The 27,051-nt window shown below is 39.8% G+C and overlaps 1 protein-coding gene across 1 annotated transcript in view; it reads right to left on the minus strand.

Moving 5' to 3' along the window:
• The window catches only part of DGKK (diacylglycerol kinase kappa), a 105,417-nt gene that overhangs the window by 39,388 nt on the left and 38,978 nt on the right, over positions 1-27,051 (minus strand). The window contains exons 2-4 of the mRNA NM_001013742.4: positions 19,452-19,562; positions 17,650-17,730; positions 15,607-15,711 (exon numbers count right to left, since the gene is read on the minus strand). Of these exons, the coding sequence (NP_001013764.1) occupies positions 15,607-15,711; positions 17,650-17,730; positions 19,452-19,562 (297 nt within the window). The remainder of the gene's footprint in view (positions 1-15,606; positions 15,712-17,649; positions 17,731-19,451; positions 19,563-27,051) is intronic.

The following is a 27,051-nucleotide window of genomic DNA, read 5'->3' on the forward strand; positions in this document are numbered from 1 at the left end:
TAGCCAGGGAATAAAGACAGGAGGTAAGGCTCTGACTCTGGGCTAGGGAATATTATAATAAGGCTTTAACTACCTCCTGGAGGTATACACTTTCCTTCCTGGCTGCCAGGTGAGCAGAGCATTGCTTTACCTGGACGACAGTTTCATCTCAGGGGATTCTTTTAGGAATCCCTTGAGTATTCTTTTAGGAATACCACGCTCTGACTGCCTACAGCAGTTTCCTGATTAATCAGCTTAATTCATCCAATAATCCATTAAACAAATATTTACTGAGTAAATACTTTGTGCTTGGCACTTTTCAAAGCATTTGAGATATAGTGAACAAGACACAACCCCTGCCTACATGGAGTGGCATTCTTTTTGGTGTCCTCTTTCATGGTACTGAGTTTGACATTTTTTGTTAATGTGCCTTAACATTTTTTGTTAAATGCTGCATTTGTATTTCACAGCCTGACTTTCATGACTGTAGGGAAAGCAAGGGTATACCAGCAACAGTTTTGAGATTGAAAGAAGGGAAGGGTGAGCACCAAAAAAACTCCAAGGACTCTTACACCTTTTCACTAATTCCTGAGAATGTCTGATTTTCTCCTTCTCTGCCTTCCCCTGAAGTTCAGACATAGGCGTACACAGAGCTTTTCATTCTTGACATTATAATGAGTTGGGTGTGTAAAGGCATGACAAGACTTTAAAAAGAACTATATTTTCTTTCTGACATCAGTTGACAGTGGGGGGAGAGAGAGAGAGAGAGAGAGAGAGAGAGAGCTAGCTACTGAGGGCTCTAGCACATTAAGTATTCATCCTTGATCAATTTACATGAATTAGATATCCAAGACATAGCCTGCACATTGCCCTCTCTGACCACTCCTTCCCACTTCTGGCATGCTGGTTACGTGCTAAGCTACTGTTGATTTAACCTGGAACCTTCTGGAAGGGAAAGCTATTTTGATGAACTAAAGGCTCACATGTTCTGGGATTGCTTTGTGATTGTAATGTTTATTGTACATTAAGACACTGGAAAGCTCTAGGGTGATTAGAATAGAAGATGGAGAGTCCTGAGGGAGTGACATACTCTTGGCTTTGGCACTTTGAGCTCCTAGAACCTTTCTACTCCCCAAGTCACTAGATTGTAATTCTACAAGCATCTTTTTTTTCCCTCCCAGTCTCCTCTCCTCCAATAATTACTAAGAACCTATTATGTATCATCTACCATGGTAGGCACTGGAGATGCAGAGATGAATAAACCATAGTTGTTTCCCTCAAGGAATTTATAGTCTACTGGAGGAAACAAATTCTAAAACAGATCATTCCTGTATAGAGTGACAAGTGAAGCTCTTCTAGAATGTGCAAGGTTTCACAGGACTGCGTGGAAGAAATTCAGAGCTCTGCCTGGGTATAATATTAAATTTCATCATCTAAATTGCCTACAGAATACAAAGGAATAGGTAAAATGGACATTACTTAGGTTCAGCAGTTGAGGTGATGGAATTTATATTCCTTGTGTACATCCTATTCTGTAAGAAAAAGTTGATGCTTCCCACCCTGGATGAGTATGTGTGGCGATTGAACTGTGTCCCCTCAGAAATATGTTCAAGTCCTAACCCTTGGTACCTATGAATGTGACCTTACTTGGAAATAGGGGTTTAACCGATATAATCAAATTAAGATGAGGCCATAATGGATTAGAACGGGCCCTAATCCAATGACTGGTATCCTTATAAGAAGAGAGGAATTTGGACACAGACAGGCACACACAAAGAGGAGAACACCTTGTAAAGATACAGAGCACACAGACACAGGGGAGAACACCAGGTGACAATGAAGGTGGAGATTGGAATGATGCATCTGCAAGCCAAAAAATGCCAAAGTTTGCCTGCAATCACCAGAAGCTAGGAGGAGGCAAAGAAAGATCCTTCCCTAGGGTCATCAGAGAAAGCATGGCTCTGCAGATACCTTAATTTGGGACTTCTAGACTCTAAAACTGTGAGACAGCAAGTTGCTGTTGGTTTTAAGCCATCCAGTTTGTAGTTATTTTATTATGGCAGCCCTAGGAAACTAATACAGATTTTGGTACTGGGAAATGGGGTGCTGCTGTAACAAATACCTAAAAATGTGGAAGTGGCTTTGGAACTGGGTAATGGGTAGACTAGAAGAATTTTGAGACACATGCTAGAAAAAGCCTAGATTGCCTTGAACTGAGTGTTTCTAAAAATATGAACATTAAAGGTGTTTCTGATGAGGCCTCATGTGAATATGTGGAACATATTGGAAACTAAAGGAAAGGTAATACTTTTATAAGGTAGCAGAGAACATGGCTGATTTTGCTCTACTGTTGGGTGGAAAGTAGACTTTGTGAGCAATAAACTTGAATATTTGACTGAGGAGATTTCCAAGCAAAGTATAAGAGGTGCATCTTGGTTTCTCTTTGCTGTTTATAGTAATATGTGATAGGGAAGTGATACACTGAGGAAAGAAATTGTGTTAGTCTGCTCAGGCATCATAAAAAATAGCATAGACTGAGTGGTTTAAAAACAGAAATCTAATTTTCTCACAGTTTACAGCTGGAAAGTCCAAGATCAAGGTATCAATCAATTCAGTCCTTGGTGAGGGCTTCCTTCCTAGCTTGTAGAAGGCCACCTTCTCACTGTGTACTCTTGTGGTTTTTCCTCAACGTGTGCATGCAGAGAGAGAGAGAGAGAAGAAAGAAAGAGAGAGAGAGAGAGAACACCTCTTTCTTTTCCTCTTATTATAAGGCCACTAATCCTATCAGATTAGGTCCCCACCCTATGGCCACATTTAACCTTATTTGCCTCCTAAATGTCCTATCTCCAAAGTCACATTAGGGGTTAGGGCATCCACATATTAATTTGGGTGGAGGGCACACAATGCAGTCCATAACAGAACTATTAAGCAAAAAGTCACCAGAACTAGAAGATTTAGAAAATTCTCAGCCTATCCATATTGCAAAACCCAAGAAAGTGTGCCCTGCAGAGAACATCAAGGGTGTGTCTGGACAAACTTTTGCTGGAGAGATTAGATGTGGGACACCTGGCTCCGATTAACCACTTCAGCAGAACACTGTCAGATTGGACTGAACTTGGACTTAAGGGTACAGATATGGGATAAAATGAAGGAAGGTTGTCAGACTTCTGAGATTCTATAGGCATGAAACACACTGATAAAGCGACTCAGCTGTGAACATGTGTTATCCTTCAAGAAAATGGAAGAATGACTTCCAGGGGTAGCTCAGAGGCCAGCAAGGCTGCCGAGAGAGGCTCAGAGGCCAGAGATGCTGCTGTTGCCATCATAGGCCCAAAGAATGTGGGCCCAAGGGGCAGAGGCACTGCCTCCTTGGTTCCAGAGGGTGGAGTTGTCTCCTGGGTTCCAGAAGGTGGGGCTGTCTCCTTGGTTGTGCAGGGGCTTGTGGGGGGATTGACTCTCCAGTGAGCTAAGAGAGTAGGGTTAGAGAACAGAACACCTAGCCCCAGAGAATTATTCTCAGGCCTGGAGAACCTGATGGAATTTGCCCTGCTGGGTTGCCAATTTTTTTTTAAACCCACAACCATTTTATTCCTTCCATTTTATCCCTTTCTTTCTTTTTTTGAGACGGAGTCTCGCACCGTGGCCCAGGCTGGAGTGCAGTGGCGCGATCTCGGCTCACTGCAAGCTCCGCCTCCCGGGTTCACGCCATTCTCCTGCCTCAGCCTCCCTAGTAGCTGGGACTACAGGCGCCCGCCACCACGCCCGGCTAATTTTTTTTTTTGTATTTTTAGTAGAGACGGGGTTTCACCGTGTTAGCCAGGATGGTCTCGATCTCCTGACCTCGTGATCCGCCCGCCTCGGCCTCCCAAAGTGCTGGGATTACAGGCATGAGCCACCGCGCCCGGCCATTTTATCCCTTTCAAAATGGGAATATCTGTCCTATGCCTGTCTCAACATTGTATTTTGGAAGCATATAGCTTGTTTTCTTGGTTTCACACGTCCATAGATGGAGAGGAATATTGCTGAGGATGGACCATACACAGAGTCTCATTCATACCTGATTTAGATTATTTACAAAATGATATTTTGGACTTAGATTTAACGCTGGAATGTGCTATGGCTTTTGAAGAGGTTGAGATGACAGTGAATGTATTTTGCACATTGGAAGGACATGAATTTGGGGGGGACTAGAGGGTGGACTCTTGTGGATTGAATTGTATCCCCCTAAAGGATATGTTCAAGTCCTAACGTCCACTACCTGTGACTGTGATTCTATATGGAAGTAGGGTCTTTGAAGACATATTACATTTAAGATGAGATCATACTATATTATGGTGGGCCTCAATCCAATGACTGCTATCTTTATAAAAAGAGAAATTTGAACATAGGTACATACAGAGAGGAGAACACCATGTGAAGATACAGAGGGAACAGACACAGGGGAGAATACTATGTGATGATGAAGGCAGAGATTGGAGTGATGTGTCAGCAAACTAAGGAACACGAAGAATTACCAGCAACCACCAGAAGCTAGGAAGAAGCCAAAAAAAAAAAAAAATCCTCCCCTAAATCTTACAGAGAGATCATGGCCCTGTTGACATGTTGATTTCAGACTTCTAGCCTCCAGGACTCTGAGAAAATAAATTTCTGTTGCTTTCAGCCACAAAATTTGCAGTAATTTGTTACAGCAGCCTTAGGAAACTAGTACAGTATATCATTACAGGTCTTCTTACTTGTTGACACAGATTAAAAATCCATTCTGAAGACAGATTTAAAACTGTGGCATGTACACAAACCACGGATCTCTAAATGCTAAAGAAAGTAGTTTTCTTTAAAGCTTTCAGTGTGTGGTTGTTGGGTTTTTGTGTTTGATTTTTACTCTCTGTAAAATACTTAGGTGAATACATTCATGCAGTCCATTGCTCCGATCGGATTCTTCATTTGCAATGGACTGAATGCTTGTGTACCCCCTTCATATCATATGTTGAAATCCTAACCCTCTAGGTGATGGTATTAGGAGATGGGGCCTTTGGGAGGTGATTAGGTCATGAGATTGGAATCCTCATGAATCGAATTAGTGCCCTTATAAAAGAGACCCCAGAGACCCATCTCAGTCCCTTTTCCACCATATGAAGACACAAGAAGACAATTGTCTATGAACCAGGAAGTGGGTCTTCACCAGACACTGAGTCTGCCAGTGGCTTGATCTTGGACTCTCTGGCTTCCGGAAGTGTGAGAAATAATGTTTGCCGTTTTAAGCCACCTAGTCTGTGGAATTTTTTATAGCAGCCCAAACTGACTAAGACAGGAATTGGTACTGAGAAGTGAGGAGTACTGCTATAACAAATACTTAAAAATGTAGAAAAAACTTTGAAACTGGGTAATGGGTAGAGATTAGAAGAGTTTTGAGGTACATGCCAAGAAAGCCTAGATTGTTCTGAATAGAATTTTAAAGGAGATTTTGGTGAGAGCTCAGAAAGGGAAAAGGAGAGCTGTAGAGAAAGCTTCTATCTTCTTAGAGTATACCTGAGCAATCATGAACAGAATTTTGGTAGAAATGTGGACCGGCCAAGAACATGTTACTGGACAATAAAGAAAAAGTGATTGTTGTTATAAAGTGGCAAAGAACTTGCCTGAATTGTGTTTGTATTCTAGTGTTTGATGGAAAGTAGAACTTGTGAATGATGAAATTCGATATTTAGCTGAGGATATTTGGTTCCTCCTGACTGCTTATAGTAAAATGTAAGATAGAGAGTGACATCAACAAGATGGTGGAATAGGAGTTCTCCAGCTTCACTCCCTGCACTACAGAAATCCAACTGGCAACTATCCACAGGCAAGAATACCATTATGAATATCCCAGAACTTTGGAGTGAGGCTGAGACAACCCCCTTGGACCACAGAACTGAGAAAACCCAGGGTCAAATGGTAAGAGTAATGGTTCTCTTTGACTATGCCGCTTCCCCCTCAAGCTGGTGCAGTGCCTCAGAGAATTTCCCTGGAGTTATGGTTTCTAAGTGGGAAAAGAGAGTTGAAGGCAGATATTCAACTTCCTCACATTTCGGGACCCTTCAAAGGAAGTCCACTCCTGTCTTGTCCCACGGGAAACATTGGTAGTACCAGCAGGGCTAGGTCACTTGGGGTCAGTAAGAAACAAAAAATGGGGTGGGGCTCACAGTAATCAATGTATAGATCTTGGTGGCTGCTCTGTGTTCCTGCCAATGGAAGTGCCACATCAGAGGAGCTTGCCAATAGCACCATGCTGCAGGAAACATGGTCCACGGGTCTTCCAGGCTTGAATCCCTAGCTAGCTTCTTCAGACAACCTGGGTGCTCTGATTAACTCTTCCCCAGGCCAAGGGATAACTGTTAGGCCAGCGATTACCCATGGAGGAACAGCTGGCCCCATCCAACCCTAGTGTCAGAGAGGTGATCCAATAAATTCTGATGCTCATTGACAACAAAGCCAGACAAGGACACAACAAAAAAAGAAAACTACAGGCTAATATCCCTGACAAACACAGATGCAAAAATCCTCAATAAAATATTAGCAAACTGAATTTAAGAATACATAAAAAGAATCATTTACCATGATCAAGTGGGATTTATCCCTGAGATAAAAAGATGATGCAACATACATAAATCAATAAGTGTGATTCACCATATCAACAAACGAAGAATTCAAATCACATGATAATCTCAGTGATGCAGAAAAAGCATTTGACAAAATTCAAGACCCTTTCATGATTTAAAAAAGAAAAAAACCTCTCAACAGATTAGGTATAGAGGGAATGTAACCAGCATAATAAAGGCCACATAACAAACTGATAGCTAGTATCATTCTAAATAGTAAAATGTTGAAAGCTTTTCCTCTAAAATCAGGGACAAGGATGCCCACTCTCATCACTTCTTTTCAAATTCTGATAATTGTCATATGTAAAAACCAGAGCAATTAGGCAGGAGAAATAAATAAAAGATATCCTAATAGAAAAGAAACAAGTGAAATTGCCTCTAGTTGCTGATGACATGACCTTATATATTTAAAAAAACCTAAAGACTCTACCAAAAAACTGTTAGAACTGATAAACAAATTCAGTAAAGTTGCAGGATATAAAATCAACATACAAAAATCAGTAGCATTTTATATACAGGTTGAGTATCTCTTATCCAAAATGCCTGGGACCAAAAAGTGTTTCAGATTTCAGATTTTTTAGGATTTTGAGGTATTTGCATTATGCTTTCTTGTTGAGCATCCCAAATCCAAAAATCTGACATCTGAAATGCCCCAATGAGCATTTCTTTTAAGCATCATCTTGGTGCTAAAAAAGTTTTGGATTTTGGAGCAATTCGGGTTTGGGATTTTGAAATTTGCGATGCTCAACTTGTACCAATAATGAACTATGTGAAAAGGAAATTAAGAAAACAATCCCACTTACAATAGCAACAAAAAAGAAAATACTTAGGCGTAAATTTAACCAAGGAAGTAAAAGACCTGCATACTGAAAACTATAGAAGATCAATTAAAAAATGGAAGAAAACACAAATAAATGGAAAGATATGCTGTGTTCATGGATTGGAAGAATTAATTTTGTAAAAAATATTCATACCACCCAAAGCAATCTACAGATTCAATGCAATCCCTATCAAAATTCCAATGTCATTTTTTGAACACCTTTCCTCTAAGATCATCCAGTGTCATTTTTCACACAAATGGAAAAAAATCCTTAAATTTGTGTGGAACCACAAAAGACCCTGAATAGCTAAAACAATCTTCACCAAAAGAACAAAGCTGGAAGCATCACACTTGCTGATTTCAAAACATAGGTAAAGTGATTATAATTAAAACAGCATGGTACTGGCATAAAAACAGACACACTGACAAATGAAACAGGGTAGGAAACCCAGAAATAAACCCATGCATTTACAGTTAACTGACAAAAGTTGACTGACAGCTTTTGACAAAGTTTCCAAAAACACAAAATAGAGAAAGGACAGTCTTTTCAATAAATGATGTTGGCTGGATATCCACATACAGGAGAACAAAATTAGACCCTTATATGAGGGGTCCTGAACCTCTGAGCCATAGATTGGTACCAGTCCATGGCCTATTAGGAACCAGGCCGCACAATAGGAAGTGACCAGTGGACAAGTGAGCATTACTGCCTGAGCTCTACCTCCTGTCAGATGAGCAGTGGCATTAGATTCTCATAGGAGTGAGAATCCTATTGTGAACTGCACACATGAGGGCTCTAGGTTGCACACTCCTTATGAGAATCTAACTAATGCCTGATGATCTGAGGTGGAACAGTTTCATCCCGAAGCCCCCCTACCAACCCCCAACCACAGTCCATGGAAAAATTGTCTTCCATGGAAACTAATCCCTGGTGCCAAAAAGTTTGAAGACTGCTGCCTTATACCGTATTAAAAAATCAATTCAAAGTGGGTTAAAGACTTAACTGTAAAAGCTGAAACTCTAGAACTACTGTGATAACACAAGGGAAAAAGCTCCCCAACATTGGTCTGGGCAAGGATGTTTTGGCTCTGACCCCCAAAGCACAGGCAACAAATGCAAAACTGGACAAATGAGATTACATCAAACTAAAAATCTTCTATACAGCAAAGGAAATAATTAACAAAGTGAAAAGACAACCCACAGAGTGGAAGAAAATATTTGCAAACCATACATCTGATAAGAGGATAATATCCAAAATATATAAGGAACTGTAACAACTCAATAGCAAGAAAACAGCCCAATTAAAAATGGCAAGAGACCTGAACAGATATTTCTCAAAAGAAGATATACAAATGGCCAATATGTACATGAAAAAATGCTCAATATCATTAATCATTAAGGAAGTGCAAATTAAAACCACATTGAGATACCACACCACACCTGTTAGAATGGCTTTTTAACAAAAAAGATGAAAGATAATAAGTGTTGGAGAGGATGTGGAGAATAGGGAACTCTTAGGCACTGTTGGTAGGAATGTAAATTAATATAGCCATTATGGAAAATGGTATAGGGGTTCCTCAAAAAACCTAAAAATAGAACAACCATATGATTCAGTAGTTCCATTTCTAGGTATATGTGAAAAGAAACTGAAATCATTCTGTCAAAGGGATATTTGCACTCCCAAGTTCATCGCAGCATTATTCACAATAGTCAAGCTATGGAAACAGCTTAAGTGTCCATCAACAAATGAATGATTAAATAAAATGTGGTATATATACACAATGGAATGCTATTCAGCATTAAAGAAGCGGGGAATTCTATCACTGGTGACAACATGGGTGAATCTGGAGGACATTATGCTAAGTGAAATAAGCTAGCACAGAAAAACAAATACTGCATGATCTCATTTATATATGGAATCTGATAAAGTTGAACTCAAAGAAGTAGAGAATAGAATGGTGGTTGAGGGAGAGGAGGAGGGAATGGGGATATCAAAGGGTACAAAGTTTCAGATAGACAAGAGGAATGAATTTTGAGATCTATTGTGCAGCAGGGTAACTATAGTCAATAACAATGAATTATATAGAGTATTTTTAAATAATTAAGAGAGTAAATTTCAAATATCTCACCATAAAAAATGATAGGTAATCGGGGTGATGGATATGTTAATTAGCTTGATTTAATCATGCCACCTCGTATACATATGTGAAAACATCACATTTTACTCCATAAATCTGTGTAATTATGATTTGTCAATCAAAATTAATAATTTAAAAAATGAAACATAAATAAATAGCTCATTAATCAGTTTTATTTTGATTATAGTTAAAATTATAATATTGTACATATATTTGGTTAATAAAATGTTATTAAAATGAAAAAATGTGAGAGGAGATAAATGAATTGAGGATGAAATTGTTAAGCAAAAATCCCATAGAATTTAGAGATTTTGGAAAATTCTCAGTCTGTCCACATTACAAAAAATAAGAAAATATGTTTGAAAAGGTGTGAAAGACCCACTATTTGATAAGGAGATTAGTGTGGATGTCAATCACAGACTTAATTAGCTATCTCTACAAAAGCCAGCAATAGAGATGGGATTATAGTAGCAGAACCACTGTCAGCTGAGACTAAAGGAAATTGAGAAAATGGGATGAAACAAAGAAGACCCTACAGGACTGGACCATAGAACTATTCGGATGTGAAGTTCTTCAAGACAAGTAAAGAATGATCCCAAAGGTGATTCAGAGATCAATAGAGCTGCCATCCCACCACAGGCCCAAAGTGCACAGTTCTAGGTGACAAGGCTGTCTCCACGTCAATTTCAAAGGGTGGAAACCAATGCCCAGCAGAGCTGTGGGGATGGAAGAGTCCAGCAGAGCCCTGGGGACTTGCTTCTGTTCTAACAGAGAATCATGCCATGAATAGGGCCACTGTAGAGAGCCACAGCATTGGCACTGCCCTGCTGATCTGTGGGGGTGATGTTGCCACTCGTGTAGGTCTGGAAGGCAGAGCATTGAGCCAGAGGATTACAGATGCTCCCAGTTTACTATGGGGTTACATCCTGATAAACCCAGTAAGTTCGAAATATTGTTAAGTAAAAAATGGACGTTTTGTAGACATGATGGGATGTAAAAACACAAAGTACAATATCTCCCAAAACTTTGGCAACACAGTGCACTGTAGAATATGGGTTGTTTACCCTCAAGATTGAGTGGCTCACTGGGAACTGTGGCTTGCTGCTGCTGCCCAGCACGGTACTGCCTATGACTACCTCAGGAAAAGATCAAAATTCAAAATTTTGAAGTACTGTTTCTACTAAATGTGTATTGCTTTTGCACCATTGTAAAGTCAAAAAGCTGTGAGTCCACCATCGTAAGTTGGAGACCATCTGTATTCTCCAAACTTAAGATCTCATGGAGCTTGCCTTGCCAGGTTTTCGACTTGCCTGGGACCTGTCATTTCTTCCTTGTTTTCTATTTCTCCCTTTTAGAATGAGAATGTCTATCCCATGCCTAGTTCACCATTTCTATTTTGGAAGGACATAACTTGTTTGACTTCATAGGTTCACAGCTGGAAATAAATTTTGTCCAAGGCTGTCTCACCCATATCTGATGTAAATGATATTTAGATGATACTTTAGACTTTATAATTCATGTTGGAATGAGTTAAGACTTTTGGAATTTTTAGGTGAAATGAATGTATTTTACATGTGAGAAGGCCATTAATTTGGAGGTGTGCAGGGGCAGATGGCAATGCACTGAATGCATGCTCCCCACACGTTATAGGAAGTGATGGATCCCTCATGAATGAGATTAGCACTCTTATAAAAGGGACCCCAGAGAGTTTTCTTGCTCCTTTTTCTGCCATATGAGGATACAATCAGAAGACTCCCATCTATGAACCAAGAAGCAGCCCCTCACCAGACACTGAACCTGCCAGTACCTTGATCTTGGACTCTACAGCCTCCAGAAGTGTCAGAAAAACATGTTTGTTGCTTAAGCCACCTAGTCTATGGTATTTTTATTATGGCAGCCTGAACTAAGACATCACTGATGTAGGGCAGCTAAGGGTACTTTCTCCACCTCCTGAATTCCTTTCAGCATAATCGAGAAGTCATATATGTGTATTAATTATTTGTCTAGTAGTTAAATGAAAGCTTATTGACTCCAAAGCACTTTCCAAATGTGAGGATTTAGTAATATTAAGTGTTTGCAAAGTACATAAAAGTATCAGGTGAAATATCCCACAAAGCACAAAGTTGGCTACAGATATAATTCCATAAAGGAGCCTTTTTGGGGATGGCTTACATGATAAAATGTTGAGTTTAGATAAAACGAAGTCAGTGGTTTGTGCTTTAATGTGAACTAAACTGCTCAGTTCTATCAAGGTTTGGGGAATTACAGAAGAGTGTTAGGGCCTCCCAGGTTGGCCATTGGTAGGATGACCATGTTGTCCAAATTGGGCCACTTTCTACAGTGAAAGGGGAGCTGTTAATACTTATGCCGGGACAAGTGTAAACTGGGCTCAGCCTGAGCAAACCACTAGCCATGGACACACTATGCATGAGTTAGAGTCATTTTGCCACTTTGAATTTATTTGTTGATCTATACGATTCAGTTGTCTACCTTAGTATTCCTGCCCCATAATCACAAAGGGTGGAAATTAAAGGACAGAAAGAAGATAATTAGGAGGAATTTACGATATCCTCCTGAGAACTTAGATTAAAAATGAAAAGAACTAAGATATTAATTTTGCCAGAATCAACTTATGATTTTAGGTAAGGCAACTGAACCTCTCTGAGGCTCAGTTTTCTCATCTGCTAAGTGAAATCTTGGAATCATAAGCTTTTCAAGTTGAAAGGAATTTTGAAGTTCATCTAGTTTGCCCACTTGAAAAAAATCAATTTTCTGTACAACATCTGACAAGCAGTTGTTCAATTTGTTTGTTTGTATTACTTCCAATGATAGGGAGTTGTCCACCTCAAGAGCCAGCTGATGTCATTCCTGCAGGTTACAGTGAATGTTGGAAAGTTATTTCAACTAGACCAAAGTTTCAGAAAAAAATTTCCAAGATTTAGAGCTTTAGGAACATTAGATGGACTTTTTTGCAAGAAACTTAGTTCTCTACCTTTGGAAGAGTTCAAATAAAGGCCACATGACTTACATCTCCAGATGCTCTAAAATCTAGTATCTGGAGTCCAGATAACTTTTAAGGTCTATTTCTGTTTCCACGGTCAATGATTCCATGGCAATTCATTAGGAAGAGCTAACTTTTTAATCTAGTCTTCCAAGGAGCTCCTTATTTCTAACTTTCTCCTTTTATTCTTTCTTTAAATCCCCCAGGCTCACACCTTTCATCTGTCTGTGACTTTTCTATTTCATTTGCCTCTTTCTTATATTTAGGTTCTCCCCCACCCCTAACTCAGTATCCACACTTGTCCTCCCTTTCTATCCTCATTCTGGGGCTTAACACGGTCTTGCCATAATTAATCATAGCCTCTTCTCTGAACTTCTGGCCTCTAGTTTTTCCCTTGTCTAACCCATCCTGTATTTCTAAAGTATCCCTCTTATCAATTCTCTTCCCTTTTGAATCCATCCTGAGGCTTTACTTTGAACACATTGCAAATCTTCCCCACTCTTTATCCTGGCATTGAAAAATCTCCATGGTCAGGCCCCATCTACCTCTCAAGACATACTTCTTGGACTCACTTTCCTAAACTTTTCTGGTGAAATGAATTCTCCCTTTCACTGTATTCCAAAAAGTTTCTGTTTTCCTGTTATTCAGCTTTTGCTTATACCAGTTCCATAGCCCAGGACCTCCCACTGCCCCTAATTCCCTGCCACCAATAAAATACAATCTATCTTTCAAGGTCAGTCTCAAATCTCTCCTCTGTTAACTCTTCCCAGAGGACTCCAGCCCATACTTATCTCTTTCTCCTCTGAACTCCCATACCACTTTATTGTCTGTTTCATTCATCTGGCAATCAATCATGCATTGCCTTGTAACATCTCTGAAAACTGTCATTTATCTTGGGTACTGTCATTTAACTGTTTCTTTTGTTTCTGTGTATATAGCGTCTCCCTATTACCTACAAAGCTCATTGAGGCCTGGAGCAAGTATTGCATCTTTTTTTTCTACTCTTTATGAAACAGAATTGGGCAACTAGTAGGGGATGGCTTATTAATGTGTACTGACTAGTTTCCAATAGATTATCCAATTACTTTGTCACCACTTTAATAGACCACTAAATCCATGATTAATCTTCCCTTGCCCTATTTGTCAGGCATTGGTGGTGACAGAAGATAGAAGGGACCATTAGAGATAAGGCACATATGGGAGAAAGCATATTTTACTATTTAAGCTTCAAGTAAGACAAATTGCTAAGATGCTGGTGCCGAGACGTTTCACTATCAGCTAAAAGTGTTCCTTAATAGATTTAGGTCCCTGGAGAAGCTCCACAGAAGTTGTGATTACAACCTGATACAACTCTTCCAAGAGAGTAAACAGGGAGATTTTTTTCCTTTCTAGTTTGTGCTGGGTAATCAATACCTAGGTGTTTAATTCAATGAATTCAGGGATGGCGCACCAATTCTCTGGTAGTCACCAGAATTTCTCTAGGAGTTTTTGCATTCCTAGAACAATAATTAAAATTCAAAACATCCTATGCGACCTTTTATGCCAAATTGAAAATGTTATATGATTCATGAGAAACCCTCCAGTTTGAATAGAGGTTAAGTCATAGGAAGGAAAGATATTGGTCCACAGGGACAAAGACAGGAAAGGAGCATGGAATTCACAACTTTTTATGACTGCCTCTAATGTTGTACCATAGTGGCCTCATTGATTGGGGCGGGGGCAAAAAGGGGATGTGCTTCTCCATTAGGAAAGGAAGAAGAAAGTAACAAAGAGGTAAAATTCTGAGTGCTAAATCATATAAAGATCACCATCAAATGCTAAGCCAAGGATCTCTCAATTTAAGCATATATAACATGGGACTGAGAGAGGCCTTAATGATATTGGAGAGACCTCAAGTCAGCCATCTTGTCATGTTCCCCATCATTGCTATAGGGAGGAGAATGTATAGTTATGAGACTAAGTGGTCAAAAGCCTGAGAAGTCCTCGGGGAGTAGGGATGGATGGTTCTTCTCTATGGCATTAGTTTTATTTCTAAACTGCATTATCACCAAGCCACTTCACACACTGCTCCATCCAAATTGCCTAGAACAATCTTCTACCCATTGCTAGTTATTTAAGACATTAGGTTGTTTTAAAGTCTGGATTCACCTTCCCCTTTATCTCTAAGACCTTTACAGCAGAACTTTGCTTCAAGATGAACCATGTATCATTCTCTGTCCAAATTCTGGTTCCAAGATTTCCTGCAGATTCATTTATTCATTCAAAAGATATTTATTGTGCCTTTACTATGTGCCAGAGACCGCTGTAAGTAAATAAGTGACACAGATCTCTCTCCTCTTGGAACTTACATAAATTCTAACTGTGGTAGATCTATAGAAGGGCAGGCAGAGTGTATCTCCTGAAGTTTGATTGCACCAGTTACTGCAGGGAGCAGTGGCCAGAGATTTGGTACCACCAGGTAAAAAAGAACCCTGCTAAGCTTTGGAGAGGATACTTATTGCTCTTCCCTCTACATTACTTTTGTAGTAGACAGAAAACAGAAAGGCAAAGAGCACAGTGGTCAAGGACATAGGCTTTGGAGTCACATAGCCTGCATCAGAATCCTGGTTTCACTACTGAATAGTGATTCTGCCTTGGACTCGTTCCTACCTCTTTCTGAGTCTCAGTTTCCTTAGCTATCACTATAGTCATTCAGCAGACCCAAGTCAAGACTGCTGATTCCGGTTTTCCTAACCTAAGGGCATCTACATTAGCTGCTCACATACATCTTGAGTGACTCATCCATTGGGCATACATTGACATCTACATATCAAGTGGATATGTATAGAAGTATCTGCACCACATACTCACAAAGGTCTGAGTCCAAGTGAATTACTCCTATTTATGAATAATTCTAAAGAGGTTTTCTGTCTATAATTCCTAAACAGGTGGTCTCTGCTTCCATCTTATTATTTCCCTGCTCTAAAGGTGGCTTAACTAATGCAATTAATTATTTACCTATTAAGAATTGTGTGGCTTCTCTACTAGTTTTCTTACCTTATAAATTTCTCCCTGTTGGATGGTTTTTATGATGTTAATCCATTCTTCCATGTCTTTCCGGTTGGGTGCAGCCAGAGTGATTTTTCGTTGTGGTGTAATAACCTAAACAAAAAGCCACATTATTAGCTGGTTCCCACTCCATAACTTTGCCTTCAAACACAGTCTGTGAACTCTCTAAGAAACTACACAGATGTACCAAGCACAACATAAGCCACTTCTTGAATATAAGACAGACATTCCCAGAACCACTCGTAGCTCCTTAGTTACCCATCCGAAATAATAATAATGCTAATAGCAATAATTAACATTTTAATGCCACTCACTATGTGCCAAGAACTATTCTAAAGCACTTTATGCATATGATTTCATTCAATCTTCATTACAACCCTGTGAGATGGGCATTGTTATTTTTCCCATTTCATAGCCGAGAAAACCAAGACAAAAAGAGTTAAATGATTTGCTCAGGGTCACCCAGCAGGTAAAAAACTAAACCAGAATTGAAATCCAGATTCTTTGGCTTCAGAATTCATTCTTTTAAATACTAAACCATGTACCATCTATTACTCAAGTTAGTTTGCCTGAAAACCCTACTTGCTTACTGCTACTCTGTCTACTTGAAGTGGTAAAATTGTATGTGGTTCATTAGGGTGTCCCTGTTTCTGTTTAGTGGGAGAGTGAGATGTCTAAAAACCCAGTTTCTTTCTTTCTTATGGTTAGGGACAACCTGAAGAGAATTTTACAGTTGTCTTTCTTAACCCTGCTTGGCACAAGAACCCAGGCAGGAATAATAAGAATGCCACACTGAGAGTCTAGCAGATGTAGACCATGGGCAGGACTTGATCTTTTCCCAGAGGGCAGGAGGGATCATGGATAGCTACAGCATCAGTCATTGCTTCCATTGCCCTACTTGCCTTTACTATAAGCTCCCCAAGTCTTGAAGCTAGAGCTCACCACACCAACAAGGAATTTGTTTCTTCTTTTGCATGTAACACAGTGAGATTATGTGGTCGATGGAAATAGGAGCTAGTTGGGATTGTGATAACAGCCACTCCTTTGGTCCAAACCCATTCTTGAGTGGGGCTGATGTTCAGTGCTTCTGTGCTTTAATTAAGTTAAGGGGCAGCCTAGCCTTTATGATTTCTTTCTTTGTAGAATGGAAACCAAAAACATTACCCTATAGGCTCATCACCCAAAGACTCAGCTTTTTGGGACTGGTCAACAGAGCCCTCAGTTTTACCCTGTGTCAGGGTGATGTAATGAGAGAGTAACAAAGCAAAATCTTCTTCTTAGACCCAGCCGCTCTCCTTTCAAGGGAGGATGGAACATGAACCAACTATGGAAGCAGGATATTGGGTCTGCAGCTCTTTAGTCTGTTAGGTACTATCCCCTACATGCCTAAGCAGGAACTCCAGTCTCCATATCCCACCACTGAGGCTGGGAGAAGACAATTCTGGAAGGAGGTGGGTAGGAGAATTCCTGGGCCACCAAGCTTTCTATTTTTCAGTGAGTTTTCTGGTCTGGATTCACTTGAATGACCAAAGCCATGTGACATTTCAGTCACACAAAGCCCTAGACACTTCCCTAGAAAATCTTCTGCTTTCTTTGAGGCACTTTCATCAGTAATCTCAACATGGGGTAGATTTCACTTTGAATTAGGGCTCTTATCTACCTCATCAGAGGAGAGGATGTCATGTAACTCAATTATCCTGCCATTTTCTATAACATATTAGCAGTCTCTTGAAAGACTCCCAGTGATACTCTTCTAAATCACCTTCACTGGGAGGACTGATTTTTATAAGTCACATACTCCCTTCCCCTTGAAATCAGCTTAGCTTTATACTGGTAATAAGGAACAAGACCATCACTTTTTTTCTTCCCTATCAGTGGGCTGCTAGAAAATGTTTGCATGAATGATAACACTTTGGGATCAAAGGAAACTTTGGAAACCTGAAGTTCAAAGAAGCAAGAAGTGGTCATGGAAAGCTATCTTCCCAGCTAGCCCCTACCCCTGCCCATTCAGTCATTCCCAATCTTACTTACACAAAAACTGTGGCAAAGGTTTCTACAGCTGCTTTCTGCCACAGTGGCTTGAGACAGATCAATCGTTTCAAAGTGTGCAAACTGGAAAGATATAAGACAGAGAGGGACAAGGAACCGTCTGGTTAATGATGCAAAGAGACATTAAAAGGTAAACACACACACACACACACACACACACACACACACACACTTACTGACAGGCATTTGTGGCAGTCATGATCCAATCATTTCTTTGGCTTGAGGGCTAAAATTTATTTAGCAACATGATTTTTGTTAATGTATCATGTGACCAAAAAATGAAATCAAAATAAACTTTTTACAGACATTTATGTGGAATTATAGGAAGGCTTGAGTTGGTCAGCTCAGAATTATTTAAACATAAAGGCTTATGCTGGAAAAGATAATGAGATGTGGTCTAACTAGAGTCCTAGAGAAACAGATTGTGATAAACTCCTATTTTATTGGGTGGCAACCTTTGCAGTGTTGCTAGTCCCATCCAGTTTGAGGCCTGTGCCTCCTTATTCACTGGCCATAGTAGATACCATCTAGCCAGCAGCAGGAAATCAGTATCATGGATACAGGCAAGGCCGGTTTCACCAGTATACAAACTGTGCAGTCACACAGGGCCCCATGTTCAGAAGGGCCTCACACTTAGTTTAATGCTTTGTTGTTGTCATCTTAAAATTACCTCATAATTTTGTCTTTGAGCATGTGTTTTGTAAGTAAAGTCCAATGGGACAACAGATCATGCATATGAGCAGAGGAGATAGGCGCATTATACATTTCCACCCCATGTCTTGTTGCTCCATTTGCATTTGTGATGCCCGTGAACATAGAATTCTAGTGGACCCATGATAAGTGGGAGTTTAGCAAGACTCAAATCAAGTACAAGATAAGTGTGTTACATCTATAACTGAGTAAGCAGTAGGGGAGCTGACAGCCCTGAGAGGTCATACTTTCTGTTGGAACCAGAACTTGCTTCAGACATAGGAAAAAGACAATGGTTTCTAAGAAATACAAAGAACCAAGAAGCCCTATTGTATTCTTTCTTGCTCGTTACACCCCTGTGTTAGCCAACAATTTCTGCTAAAAATGATGACATGGAAGGAAATGGAAAGATAAGGCAACCCATAGTTCTTTCAGTTAAAAAAGTGTTGGTGGAATGTGCAAGTATCGAGAAGTAAAATATGAACAGTTGAGCTAGTTTTGTGCAGTTTTTTTATACTACTGAGAACAAAATACTACGCTTGTATGAGCTACTAAACACAAATTGTATAATTTTAGTGATTCTTTATTTGAATTAAATGCTCTTACATTTGCATTTAAAACTGGTGTTGTATAGTGTGCAGATAAATAGTGAAATTCATGCTAATTATTTAAAATCGTATTTTTCTTTACTTAGAATTGCATTAGCAAATAAAAACACCATGACAAGTCTTTGCTTTATATTAATATTTTAGTATAAACATAAAGCGTTATATGTTAGTAGCTTTAATACAACTTCCCCCTGCTTTTTGAATAAAGGGCACTACATTTTCATTTTGCACTGGATCCCCAAAATTATAGTTGGTTCTGGGTGCAGAAGCTAGCTGGGAAAAATACAAAAGGAAAGGGATACAGAAAAGAGAAAGGAGAGAAAAGTATCCCCATTTGACCCAAAAGGGCAAGTTAAAAAAAGAGTAGAGGGCTTCAACTTCCACCCTAATGTTTGCTGACATGTCTTTACTTATTAGTCCATCTTCCCACACAAAGGTTTCCTGGCACCCACCCATTAATCTAGTTGACAATATGCTATACATTACCGCGGGATGGTGTGCAAAGTAGAGCTTCTGTCCTTGAACCAGAAAATATCTAAGCTTCCATCTCTTGAAAGAGTTACAGTTCTTCAGCATAGGTCCTTCCTTCAATATTTTCTGAAAGATAGAAGCATGGTGTTGAGCAATTAGATCAATTCATAAGGTCATATCACTTGTTTTCTCAGATGGAAACAGCAGATATCTAGAAGGCTCTATCTTGTCACATATCTGAGAAATGGCCTGAAGGCCAGGTGAGAACACAGTGAAGCTCATTCAATCAGATGAGACATTGGTTACCCTTGGATTACTCATTCAGGATGATATAGGTTTCACGTTTATCAGACTATGTGGCCCAAAAACCACAGAGGATATCTCTATTTGCAGTAGAGGGCAGGGACATGAACATCATAAATATAAGAACAGCATTCTTAGGAAAGAATGCGTGGTAGAGGAAAAGGCTGTAAAGGCAGATTTTCTGGAAGTCTCCAGATTGTAGCTCCAGACAGGGCTCTCCTGTCAGCTCTTTTAGAGTGTTCCTTTTAGAATATTAAGTTAGATCATGTTCCTTCCTTGTTCGCAAGCCTCCAATAGCTTCTCAACACGTTTAGAGCCAAATCCAGTCTTTACCATGGTTTGTCTTCAGCGGACTCATGATCTCATGAAGGAGCAAGCACATAAAAAGGAACCACAAGAAAACTACCTTCTGATTACTTTCTTTACATCTCATAGTCTAACCACTGATTTTTCAGTTACCTGCTGAACAGACTGATCCTAACCAAGCATAGAGTCTACTTACCATTTTCATCATTGAGGAAGTTCTCACTTAAGTTATAGGATACAAACCAACATGCAAGACTGCCATTTGGGAGAAGTACTCAACCCCAACAAGCTGGAATCAAATCCATACTTAATGGACAAAGGGCCAGACTGAGTTTAAAATCACCACATCAAGGCTCTACCATGAATTCTATCATCTAAATTAGCATTCACCATTGGGTGGCTGGAGAAGTATTTTGTTTGGCCTACCTAGTGTTTTTCAAAGTTTCAAATTAGTTGGTAATATTTGAAAGGTGGAAGACTTCATATAAAAATTCAGGTTTCCTGTTTCTTTTTTTTTAAAAAAAATTAGAACATCTGGTAACATTGCATTTATATTCTCACATGGCAACAATCTGCAGAAACTGAGTACCAGCTGCTCCCTTCAGATGGGGTGCCTGACTCCAGCAGGAATTTGAGTTTAGGACTCTGATCTAAACAGTTATTTGCCATTCCTGTTCTCCCAAATACACACACACACACATACACACACACACACACACGTACTCATACACACACATTTATACACTCTTCAATTCTCTAACCAATTGGATAGTACTAGTAGACAGAGCCTCTGTATCTCAACTGAAAAGTCAGTTCATAAGCAGTCACAATTTACCTGAGCCCTCTTCATAGCTTATGGGAGTTTCAAGGTTATTGTAACACCCTTGGGATGCAAAAGAATGGTGCTGAGGAGTCAGAACAAAGAGAACAATAAGATCTTGTGGGAAGGAGGGAGGTTGCAGTGAGAGAGAGTAAGAAATTATATTTAAATTGTTGAAATTGAGTCATCCAAGAGAAAACAACTGCTATAAGCATTAATAATATATTGTTCCTTTCCCCTTTCTGGCCAGGTGGCCTAAAGTACAGTTCTCAAAAATGGCTTTTGGTTTTTTTATCCTAACCTTCTCACCTCTATCCATATACTTCTCCATACTAAGTCTTCATAATACCTAGGCAGTCCTATTTACTCCTTTCTGCTAAAGACTTAATTTCCAAAATTTAACGGCTCCAATTCTGTACAACTGAATCAACATCCATTATCTCTGCCCTTTTCCCAACTTGTTCTGCTCTGTTAAAATTATTAAATGCTTCCTTTACTCTTCTTATTTTGTCGTATGTAATGTCCCCTGTACCAGCTCATTTTACAGTTTTTGGTTGGCTACTTTTCCCTTCCCTCCATTCACAGTTTAAAGTGTTGCAACTCTGACTGTCAGATATTTACACTACTACATTCTCTTGGCCTGTTCTGAGAAGCACTTACCCTTAAAGAACCTATTTTTCAGGCATTGCAAGTCATGGGCTAGTAAACAAAAATCTTTCAATTTATAACTTGTGAATATGATAGCCCAAGAGGACTCAGATTTTAGCTTATGCATTTGATAAGCTCTTTAATGATATTACTATGAGCAAGAAGGAGAAATTATTATCTTTGTTCAAGTTCCTATTTTATCTGCCTGTAGATCACATCCCCTTCCTCAGCAAGTCATCCTGTTTGGTTATTCAGAGCCTACTCCCAACAAACCAGTAGCCACCCTCAACTCAGGGGACCCCAATTAAGCTCTACCACTCAGGGGGCCCTTACAGACAATAGAGCTATATAGGAATAAGTTTTCTATATCTCCCCATAATTAATACAAATCTGAAATAGATTCTGATAAGTAAAGATGTATAAGCCCAGAGCAACAACTAGAAAAATAACTTTTAAAAATTATTAATACATCATAAAGCAACAATTAAATACCACTACATGTGGATTAGAATAGCTAAAACCCAATACAGTGACAATACTAAATGCTGGCAAGAATATGGAGCAACAGGAACTCTCCTTCATTGCTAGTAGGAATGCAAAATGGTACAACTAGTTTGGAAGACAGTTTGGCGGTTTCTTACAAAATCAAACATACTTCTACCACATGATCTAAAAATTGAAATCTTTGCTATTTACCCAAATGCATTAAAAAGTTATGTCCACACAAAAACCTGCATATGAATGTTTATAGCAGTTTTATTCATAATTGCCAAAACTTGGAAACAACCAAGATGTCCTTCAATAGGTGAGTGGGTAAACAGACTGTGGTACATCCAGACAATGGAATGTTATCCAGTAATAAAAATAAATGCACTATAAAGCCACGGAAAGACATGGAGGAACTTTAAATGTATATTGCTAAGTAAAAGAAGTCAATCTGAAAAGGCTACATTAACTATATCAATACAACTACATGATATTCTGGAAAAGGCAAGACTATAGGGACAGTAAAAAAACACAGTGGCTGCCAGAAGCTCAAGGGCAGTTGGGAAGAGATGAATAGGTGGAGCACAGGAGATTTTTAGGGCAGTGATACTACCCTGTATGATACTGTAATGGTGGCTACATGTCATTATACATTTGTCAAAACTCATAGAATGTACAACACCAAGAATGAACCCTGATGTAAATGATGGATTTTAGTTAATAATAAAAAATCAATATTGGCTCACCAGTTGTAACAAATGCACTGCACTAATGCAAGACGTTAATAATAATAATAATAATAATAATAATAATAATGATTGTCTCAGGACCTTGGTCAGTTTAGTAGCCCCAAGCAGGTAACAGGGGAAACTGGGAGGGGGTGGGAGGGGGTATATGGGTACATTCTTTACTTTCCAATTTTTCTATATATCTAAAACTGCCAAAAATGGTCTATTAATTTTTTTTAATAAGCAAGCAAAAACAGGCTGGGAATTCTGAAAAAGAAGAATAATTAAGAGGGAACTACCTGCTATTTAGGTTTTAAAACCTAGTATAAAGCTATAATAATGAAAAAAATAATTAAAGGGACTAAAATGTTAAAATTGTTAAAGGAACATAAACATATACCCATGTGATATGGCAGGGGCATAAGTATGTGGAATATTCATTGAAAAATACAACAAAAGCTCTGTCTGCACCCTGGCTGTTTGAGGGAGTGGTTGTTTGAGTTCTTTAAGGGAAAAAGAGATGGCAGAAATGAAGTAATCTGTTTTATACCTGATACCCCAGGTCTGAGGGTATGAGAAGGGGAGAGTTTCAATGTGTGTCTACCAGTGGAGATGAGGAAGATTTATTTCTGAAGTGGATGATGAGATTGTGGAGCTACTTTCCAATAATAAATTATTATTATTATTATTATTATTAACACATTTTAGATTAAGTCTAGAATTACTCTCGCAGATACTATGGCTTGTCAACACAAAGTTTATAATCCTTTGGCACCAGAACAGGGTTGGTAGCTTGTGGGAACTGTCCTTCTTTTGCCTATCAAGTTACTTTGTTTCTGTCAAAAGCCAAATTACCATCTGGAAACTGGAAACAGGAGGACACAGTCAACCATGACAAGAACAGAATGTCAAGGCTAGGGAGCAAGTAAGCTCTGTGGTTCTAAAATTGTTTAGTGAGATAAACCTCTTCACCAAGTTAAAAGACCCAAGAGGGCATTGTTGGAAGGAACCAAATGAAGTTGTATTGCTTTGAATAAGATAAAATGAAGTTAAAACCTACTTTTTGTTAATTAAGTTAGAATGCAGATCTTCTTAGGGGATAGGCAAGGGCTCTCCCTTCAATGCCTCCTTTCGCAGGGTGCATGATAAGAGTTCCTTAAGTTCTAAACAGAGGCTTTGTGTCATCAGCTCTGAACTTCCACAAATGCCCAAACCTGGATCTTGGAAAAGGTAAAGTACCTGTAGTCCTTTTCCTTCTGAATTCTGTCCTCCTTTGGGGAAACTTCCCTACTCACCCAATTACTGTTTCTAAATAAACCATTGTTTATTTTGTCAAAACCCCAAAACCAATAGGCAGCCCCAGGAAGCCAGTTTGAACAGGCAGAAGCTAAAAATCCATTGCTTGATTGCCCCAAGTCGATAAACTATGTGCATGTAAAACAATCTTTACCCGCTTGGGGCTACTAAACTGAACAAGGTCCTGAGGCAAAAATTGGAAGAAGCAAGGTAACAAGCAAATGCATCCTGCCAAGGGAGGCACTGAAGGGAGAACCCTTGCCTATCCCCTAAGAAGATTTGCATACTGCTTCCTGGTCCCTGGCCTCTGGCAGATAATATCATCTCATTGCCTCCTCACAACTATGCAGTATCACGTCTGACTTCCAGACAGTAAATCTGAGGCTTGGTTTCCCTTACTTTGTCCAAGTACCCACAGTTACAAAATGCTAGTGGACTCTGTGCTTCCTCTCCCCGTGATGAGAAAACTGGGAGGGCCTGGTTTTTTAGTATGTACACAACAGGTTGAACACAGACCCCACCCCATCCCCCTGCCAAACTTTATTCTGAATGACAAGATCATAGATTGCTAAGAATTAAAATGTATTCTCGGCCCGGCGAGCACGCCTGTAATCCCAGCACTTTGGGAGGCCGAGGCGGGCGGATCACGAGGTCAGGAGATCGAGACCATCCTGGCTAACACGGTGAAACCCCGTCTCTACTAAAAATACAAAAAAAAAATTAGCCGGGCGTGGTGGCGGGCGCCTGTAGTCCCAGCTACTTGGGAGGCTGAGGCAGGAGACTGGCGTGAACCCGGGAGGCGGAGCTTGCAGTGAGCCGAGATCGCGCCACTGCACTCCAGCCTGGAAGACAGCGCAAGACTCCGTCACACACACAAAAAAGTATTCTATGAACAGCTCTGACTATTCCATACTAGAACTCTTAATGAGCTTCCCTCAAAGTGGCAAATGATATTCCTTGTTTTTCTAAAGACCTAACATTCGTTGGCGGGCGAGAAGGGAGTTCTCCAGTTTTTTTAAAGTGACAGTCCAAGATTGACTGGAAGAGTAATTAGAATTCACATGTTGACAGCACTTTGTAATTAATAAAGTGCTTTTGCTTCTCATCAGCCCTCTGAAGCAGGTAGTGAAAGGCGTTTTCTAACGCAATTCTGTCCTATGAAAGACACCCTGAAATTAGCATCTTCAAGTGGCTTGCCCGAGGAAATAGTTGAAATTTTTCCTCTCAAATAAGATAGCCCATGTTTGTTTTGCAGTTTTGAGACTTTGCAACATCTTGGAGTTAAAACATTTGTCAGAAGAACGCATCTCTGATGTTAGTACAAAAGGCAATGAGGAATGGGACTCCATATGGGAAATTTTGCTTGGTGGCCACATTTATAAGCACACAGCTATTTCATAAGAAGGGACACACATGTAGTCCTCCTGGTCCAAGCTGCCACATTTCTGTGGCAATATCTGTGATGCTGCAGATAGAAATAATTTAGGAAGGGCTGTAGAATCCTTGTACATATTGAAATGTCATGTTACCACTCGACGCTTCTTAAACCACAGCACACTGCAGGCAGGGTTCCTAATTCTTCCTGCCAGCTCTATTAGACATTAAAACCCAAATAACATTATGGTTTCTACTATTAAACCCTCAAGGCTGATTGTTTTGTGGTGAGAGTGAGTATGGTGCTAATTAGTCTATTGTCCCGAATTCAATCACCACAGAGATCAATTGGCTTCATTCAAATTCAAGAATGTAGGACTCCAAGGCATACGTAATTCAGGTCCTGTGTACAGTGTTCACACAAAATGGTCTTTGCCAAAACCATGGCAGCCCTTGCAGAGAAGGCTAAAGCTTTGGAAAACTCTGCTTCAGTTTCATTCTGAATCCTCTTTGATAAACCAATACCCAAATCCATTGCTCCCAGAAACTCCCACACCCTGGCACAGGTAGTATCTCTCTCTGGTGCTCTGTACAACTCAGCATGTGTAAATTAATAAATTAATGAGGATAAACATTTCCCTCAATCCATATTTATAAAATATCTTCTATAAAATATTTCAACAGAGTCTGTAAAGCAGCCCAATTTCCTGTATATAATTAACACCCCCCTGCTGCTTAATTGGGAAAGGGCAAGTACAGCTGCTGCTGTGACCTTTTCCTATGCTTCTCCCAAGTCCCTAAAGCTTCTACTATCTGCTACATCTGTTTTTCTGTTGCTTGGTGCATTTTTTTTTAAGAGACAGGGTCTTGTTCTGTCACCCAGGCTGAAGTGCAGTGGCGCAATCATGACTCACTGTAACCTCAAACTCCTGTCTCAAGTAATCCCCTTGCTTCAGTCTCCTGAGTAGTCAAGACTACAGGTGCCCGCCACCATGCCTGACTAATTTTTTCATCTTTTTGTAAAGACAGTCTCGCTATGTTGCCCAGGCTGGTCTTGAACTCCTGGGCTCAAGCAATCCTCCCACCTCTGTAATCCCATTACAGAAATGAGCTACCATGTTCAGCCTGCTTGGTTCGTTTTTGATGCATAAGGCTTTGGGGAATTATTTACCTTTTCCTAGCAAAAGGGTCCCCTGTTATAAGCCAAGTTGAATTCCACCCCCACCCACTCAAAAAGTAGACAAGCATCATGACATGCACCACTACCTGTTATTAGTTGGCTGCTCTTCCGTTTTAATTTCTCTTGTTGCTCTTGTGTAGGAGGCTGGATCAAGTTGGGGGATGAGTAAGCTATCATTCCCAGGTGAGAACTGAATTATTACGGGCACAACTGAGAAGGCCAGCTTTCTGTCTATGACTCCTTCAGTCCAAAGACCTGGAACATCTATTGTCTTTGCTTGGGTTAGAGTGCTGGGAAGAAAGCTGTTTCCTAACACTCGCTTGCCAAAGTTGATTCAAAGCAACTGTGTTTGATTTGGTTAAAATGCAACTCCGGGTGCTTTAGGCTTTAAGAAAGGTCAGACCCACTGCTCCACTGAAAGCTTTACATTCCCCAGGGTCCTGTTGACATGGCAGGAGTCAGACAGACTGGCTC

This window comes from Homo sapiens, chromosome X, assembly GCF_000001405.40.
Source record: "Homo sapiens chromosome X, GRCh38.p14 Primary Assembly".
In the NCBI taxonomy this organism is placed as follows: Eukaryota; Metazoa; Chordata; class Mammalia; order Primates; family Hominidae; genus Homo; species Homo sapiens.